The 6,518-nt window shown below is 52.8% G+C and overlaps 1 annotated feature.

The window, feature by feature from the left end:
* Positions 960–1,635: an enhancer, noted in NCBI's record as "OCT4-NANOG-H3K4me1 hESC enhancer chr6:170227060-170227735 (GRCh37/hg19 assembly coordinates)". NCBI's record gives its function as "activates a minimal SCP1, AML or CMV promoter by ChIP-STARR-seq in naive H9 embryonic stem cells {active_cell/tissue: H9 hESC(naive)}" and the evidence as "EXISTENCE:reporter gene assay evidence [ECO:0000049][PMID:30033119]".

The following is a 6,518-nucleotide window of genomic DNA, read 5'->3' on the forward strand; positions in this document are numbered from 1 at the left end:
GAGCCCCCATGGGGAAGCCGGGGGCCGACCCTCTCGAGGAGCTGCCTTCATCATCCCTCAGGTTTGGTGATTACCAGATGTAATCAGATGGAGTCACTCTGATAGAGCGGATCCTTGTTTTCAATGCTCGTGGGCAGCCTGTGTCCACCTGTGTCAGATGGAAGGGGCTGAGGGGGTACGAGGGACGGTGTCTGCTCCCCCACCATGGTCCTGACAAGCCACACAGGGGGCTGAGGCGGAAACTGCTGAATTCACGAAACTTTCAAAATCCAGTCTCACTCCCTTGGCTCCAGTTCATGAGAGAAAATATCTACAAACCATCCATCCAACCAGGGACAGTTATCCAGAATTTACAAGAAACTCAAACAACTCAATGGCAAAAAACAAGTAATCAGATTTAAAAATGGGCAAACAATCTGAATAGACATTTCTCAGAAGACATATGAATGGGCAACAGGCCTGAAAAAATGCTCAACACTAATCATCAGGGAAATGCAAATCAAAATCACAATGAGATACCAACACCCGCCCCCCGCCACCACCACCGACCAGGAGGATGGTTGTTATCAAAAAGACAAAGAGTAACAAATGCTGGTGAGGAAGTGGAGAAAAGGGAACTCTTACACACTGTTGGGGGGAATGTAGATTAGTACAGCCTCTATGGAGAACAATGTGGAGATTTTTCAAAAAACTAAAAATAGAGTTACCATATGATCCAGCAATCCCACTGCTGGGATTTATCCAAAAAAAAAAAAAGGAGGAAATCAGTACACTAAGGAGACACTTTATCTCCATGTTTATTGCAGCATGATTCACAATAGCCAAGATATGGAATCAACCCAGGTGTCCATCCACAGACTATTGGATAAAGAAAATGTGGTACAGATAGAAATTAGAATACTACTCAGCCATGAAAAATGTTCAAATCCTGTCATTCATGGCAGCATACATGGAACTGGGGGACATTATGTTAAATGAAATATGCCAAGAACAGAAAGACAAATATTGCATGTTTCATTCATATGTGGAAACTAAAAGAAAGTTGATCTCATAGAAGCAGAGTAAAATGGTGGCTACCAGGCTTGGGAAGGGTTGGGGAGAGTGAGAGGGTGGTTAGCTGATACAAAATCACAGCTAGATAGGAAGAATAATTTTTAGCATCCATAGCACTGCAGGGGTCTACAGTTAACAATACTTTGAAGCAACCAGAAGAAAGGATTTTGAATGTTCTCAACATGAACTCATCAATGCTTGAGGTGGTGGGTATGCTAATTACCCTGATTTCATCACAATACACTCTAAGTGTCAGAACATCACAATTACTGTGTGCCATTTAAATAAAAAGAGCCACAGTGCTGGACACTAGGGGAGGAGTGATGTCCCAGTGTGAGATGGGAATGAAGCATGGAAGTAGGAAAACAGAATGGGCCACTCTAAACAGTGTCGACGCCAGGGCGCTTTCCACACCGGCAAAGAGCTGGGGAAGGGAGGTGGCAATGGGAAGGGCCCCAGACTACACGCCTGGGAGGGGTGGACACCAAGGCTGGCCTGCTCTTCCTGATCACTGCGCTGCAGCCTCCAGTGTCTTTCCTGAGGCGAAGAGAGGGTGGGAGGGGGCTCTCAGATTCAGATGGGGAGGATTTGGAGCAAGCAGCGAGGGACTGCGGGCCCAATACAGACGCAGCTCAGCCCCCGGCCCGCCCACTCCCCATCTGCAGCGTCCCTGCTGGTCCTTAGCAGCCTTCAGTCTCTGCTTACTCTGATTCCTCCTCCTGTCTCTCCCTCCATCCTTCTCTTTATTCTCTCCTCCACTGCCTGCTCTCTTCTTTAGCTTTGGGAGATGTTTTTAAAACTCACCCTGATCCTTATATTGAAGCCCAGGGATTTTTAGTCCTGGCTGCTCATTGGAATCCCCCAGAAAGTTCTATGACCCCCTAAATCCAGACCCCACTTTCAGAAACTGATTTAATTGATCTGATCCCAGCTAAGACCCTGACGCAGGTACTTTTTGTTTTGATTCACCAGTGACCCTAATTTGAAGCCAGTGTTACGAATCACTGATGGAGTGAGACATTTGGGGTCTGTTCTTGGGACCGTGGGTGAGTTTGCTTCAAAAGTGCATTAGCTGTTCCCGCATAGGAGGGTTCTGAAGAAGGCCTCATGGTGTCTCCCTGCCTGGAGCGCCAGAACTCAGCCCGGTTCCCAGCTAAGAAGTAGGAGCTCCATGCACCTCCTTTCCTGCCTGGGCCTCTGTGGGGGATTCTTCTGAGCCCCCTCGTCGCTGGCCTGGATTTGCCTTGGATTCTCCGGGGGCGGGTCTGCCTCCTCCCTGCCTGTGTCTTTGGGCGGTGTGACTTCCAGGGCTGTGTGACCTTCTGGGCCTTGCTCCCAGATGGACGATGTTTCCTCGGACACCTCAGCCTCAAGGAAGGGCTGTGCCTCACCAGTCTCCTGCCATTACCCCGTTCCTCTCTGCTCTCATATTCCACACAAGCCAATCCCACATCTGGGATGCCAGGCGGGGATGTGAGTAGATGGCAGGTACAGCGGGCAGCGGGCCAGCACATCTGGGTTCCAACATGAAAACAACTCCCTTTTAACATAAACTTTTTTTAAAGGCCCCAAACACATCTGCAGTCCAGTTAAGGGTTGCTGGCCACAAGTATGCAGCTTGCCTTACCCCTTCCCTCCCTTAGCCTTATGAGTTCAACCCATTTATCCAGCACCGACTGTAAACCAGGCATGTTGTGGGCTCTGGGGGTAAAGCTGGGACTCAGCAAAGGCTCTGCTCTCCTGGACCCTACAGAGGACAAACAAACAGCAACAGGAACGCACGTCAATGTTGTGCACAGGGAGGGTGCTCACCCTGATGGGGGCGACACAGGGAGGGTGCTCACCCTGATGGGGGCGACACAGGGAGGGTGCTCACCCTGGTGGGGGCGACACAGGGAGGGTGCTCACCCTGGTGGGGGCGACACAGGGAGGGTGCTCACCCTGGTGGGGGCGACACAGGGAGGGTGCTCACCCTGGTGGGGGCGACACAGGGAGGGTGCTCACCCTGGTGGGGGCGACACAGGGAGGGTGCTCACCCTGGTGGGGGCGACACAGGGAGGGTGCTCACCCTGGTGGGGGCGACACAGGGAGGGTGCTCACCCTGGTGGGGGCGACACAGGGAGGGTGCTCACCCTGGTGGGGGCGACACAGGGAGGGTGCTCACCCTGGTGGGGGCGACACAGGGAGGGTGCTCACCCTGGTGGGGGCGACACAGGGAGGGTGCTCACCCTGGTGGGGGCGACACAGGGAGGGTGCTCACCCTGGTGGGGGCGACACAGGGAGGGTGCTCACCCTGATGGGGGTGAGGGTGGGGCTTAGGGGAAGGCACCTCTGAGCTGTCTTTGGGTTGAAATTGAAATTAAAGGAGGGAGGAAATGGGGGAATAAAAAGTGCAAAGGCCCTGGGGCCACCTGAGCGCCCCTTGGAGAATTGTGGCCAGGCCCTAGCCAAGGAGCCCTGAGCCCAGGTGAGGTCTCAGACTTCAGGGTGGCAAGGAGACCTGGGGGCTACCCCTGCAGACCACACATGCCTGGAAAAGCTTTTGGAGTTTATTTCTGGGGCAAAGTGAAGCCAGTGAAGGGCCCGGGTAGAGGAACAAACCCCTGACTGTGTTTTAAAGGCTCACAGCCAAAGACCACAGGGACAGACCAGCCTGGTGGTCCAGGCAGGGCCGAGGTGGCTTGGGCTGGAACAGCTGCGTGGGGGAAAGGATGGCACAGAGGGTACTTGGAGGTGGGGGATGAGGAGAACCAAGGGACAGAGGATGACTCCGTGTTCGGGCCTGAAACATTGGGTAGACTGACAGTGAGGCCATTTGCTTGGCAAAACAAGGGGGCAGTGGGGTACGGACAGGAGGGCGTTGGCTGCTTTCAGCTGAGTGTCTTGTCATGTCCCATGCAGGTGCAGGAAGCACAGGGGAGGGGCCAGGGCCAAGCAAGGGCTGGTGAGTGAGCCTCAGCTGCAGGGCTGGACAGAGTCATCTGGGGGAGAGGTGGGGCAGGAGGATGCCTGGAAGCCAAGAGGAGACACTGTTCCAGAGGTGAATGCTCCATCACCACTGAGGCCAGCAGAGAAGTGAGCATGGGGGTCCTGGCCTGCTGGCTTGGACTTCCTAACTGTGGGGTACTGCCCACAGGGCCAGAGGGAAACACTTAGGGGCCCTAACCACACACAAGACCTTACAATTCTCTCCCACATGTAACTCAAATATGTATATCTGTATTTTGCAACAAGACAAATTTTAAACTATGGTTTAAAAAAAATCCCCCTGAATTTGCTGATTGCAAACTTCTTGGCAAATCTGTCCAGGCTGAACTTTTCTCCATCTTCCTCTGCTGCTGCTGTTTTGCCTGCTTTTCAAGTGCTTAGGACACTTACTTGGCCATTAGTCAGATTAGACTGGCTGCTTCTAAATTAGTCCCTTGGCCAGGATCACCTCTCTCTATAATAGAGAAATTGTTTCAGGTGCCTTCGATGGCATCCTCAGCCCAGAGCATTAAGTCCTGGTGGCATCACAGGCCTTGGCCACCCACCTAGGTCACAGCTCCCTTGACTGATCCTTCTCCACCCCCTAGGCACCTGGACTCAGGCCCCCAGAGGGCCACTCACCATCACCTGGCTATGCCTGGCATTTTCCACATCCCTGCTCCAGTGTCTGGGTGTCTGGGCAGACTTCCTGGTTCACAGATGGAGCCTTCTGGCTGTGCCCCCACGGGGCGGAAGGAACAAGGCAGCTCCCTGGGGCCTCTTTTGTAGGGGCACTAATCCCACCATGAGGCTCCACCCTCCGAACCTCATCACCTCCCAAAGGCCCCACCTCCTAACACTGTCACCTTGTGGGTGAGGTTTCAGCCTAGGAATTTGGGACGCTTGCGCATTCTGCCTGGAGCATTAACCACGTATCTTCCCTGTGTTTGCCAAGGATGTGTCCGGAGACTTTAGTCAGTCCTAAAATTCTCCCTCCCGCTAGTGAGTGACCTGAGCAGTGCATCCTGCAGCAGCCCAGCCCTCAGGTGTTCATCCTCCAGCAGCGCAGCCCTGCCCACCCTCGGGAGGAGGAGGGGCCCGGCGCTGACACCTGCGGCCTTCTCAGTGCCACAGCCGGGCTCTGCATCCCTGCAATGCTCCACAGCTGCAAGGCTGCTCACTCACTTTGCACAGTGGCTCCCAAACCCCATTTGCAATTTTCCCTCCGAGACCCTCACAGCAGCTGGGGCCTCCTCTTCAGGCCATGTGTCCCTTCTTCAAGAGTCAAAATGAGAACAAGTCCGTCTCTTCCTTTTCTTCCTCCAAGCTTGGGGAGGCAGCAGCTTCCTCTCTGGCCCCCAGTTAAGGACCTTCTACCTACGGATTCCCTACATCAAGTCCCTCATGGGAATTATCTGTTCTGGTAGCTTCCGTGGCTTCTTTCTCTTCCCAGACCCTGACAGATGACCACGCGTGGCTTGCTGAAGCCATAGCTGTATGAGGACACTGGCAGAAACGGCTGCTGTTCTTCTTGCTTCCCAAAGGGCAGAGATACCTCGAGTCACAGAAGGATGAGGAAGCGTCTTCTCACACCCCTGACTTCATCTGCTGGGAGCTGGTGGCTGAGGGCGGCTGGTTTGCTCTAACCCTTCAACACCGATGAGTGGAAAGGGCCAAGGAAGCAACCCCCGCAAACTGCCTGGTTGCCAAGAGGTCTCCCAGGTAGGGGACAGACTCGGGTCCTGCCGGCAGCTGCGCAGGGAGGGTCTCCATGACGCAATATCTCCACACCACGGCAGGGGGCGCTGTTCACGTGCGCGAGAACGCTCCTTAGTGACCAGAGCCTTTGCTCCAGGGACAGGAGCTGCCTCAGAGCACAATTTGCTGCTTTGAAAAGGGATTTAGAACAGGAATTCCCTCAGACTTGGTAACAGTAGATGCCGTGTGAGCGGAAGAGCATCTTCAGGGAAAACGTGTGAGAAATGGGGGAGAGGAAACCTGACTCCAAATAAACCAAGAACACGGCAGAAATTAAGGAGCTCGCAAAAGCTGTGAGAGGGCAGCGAGTTGCCAGTTCATATAAATGAAGAGATCAGCAGAGTCCACCGCCGACTGGTTGCGAAGAAGTCTAAAAACAGACCCAAGGATTCGGAAATTCGGGGCCGTCGTAGAGCCACTCATTTCAGTAGAACAGTAAGTGCAGAAACCAGATTTATACACACAGGTATATACATGGATACACACATCTATACACACACTAGTTTTCTATTTGTGTTTTAAAATTTAACTTTTTATTTTGATGTTTAAAGAGTACATACAAATGTAGAAAGGACTGTGTAATGAACTCCCATGTACCAAGTACCACCTGATTAATAATTAAGTGGCTTATGACTAATAATTATTGACTCACGACTCAACTTGTTTAATCAGTTTCTGCCTGTCCCCACTCTCTATCTCTCTTTCTCTTTGGATTGGAGTATTTTCTGGCCATCCCAAAA

The sequence above is a fragment of the Homo sapiens genome, chromosome 6 (assembly GCF_000001405.40).
Source record: "Homo sapiens chromosome 6, GRCh38.p14 Primary Assembly".
Lineage (NCBI taxonomy): Eukaryota > Metazoa > Chordata > Mammalia > Primates > Hominidae > Homo > Homo sapiens.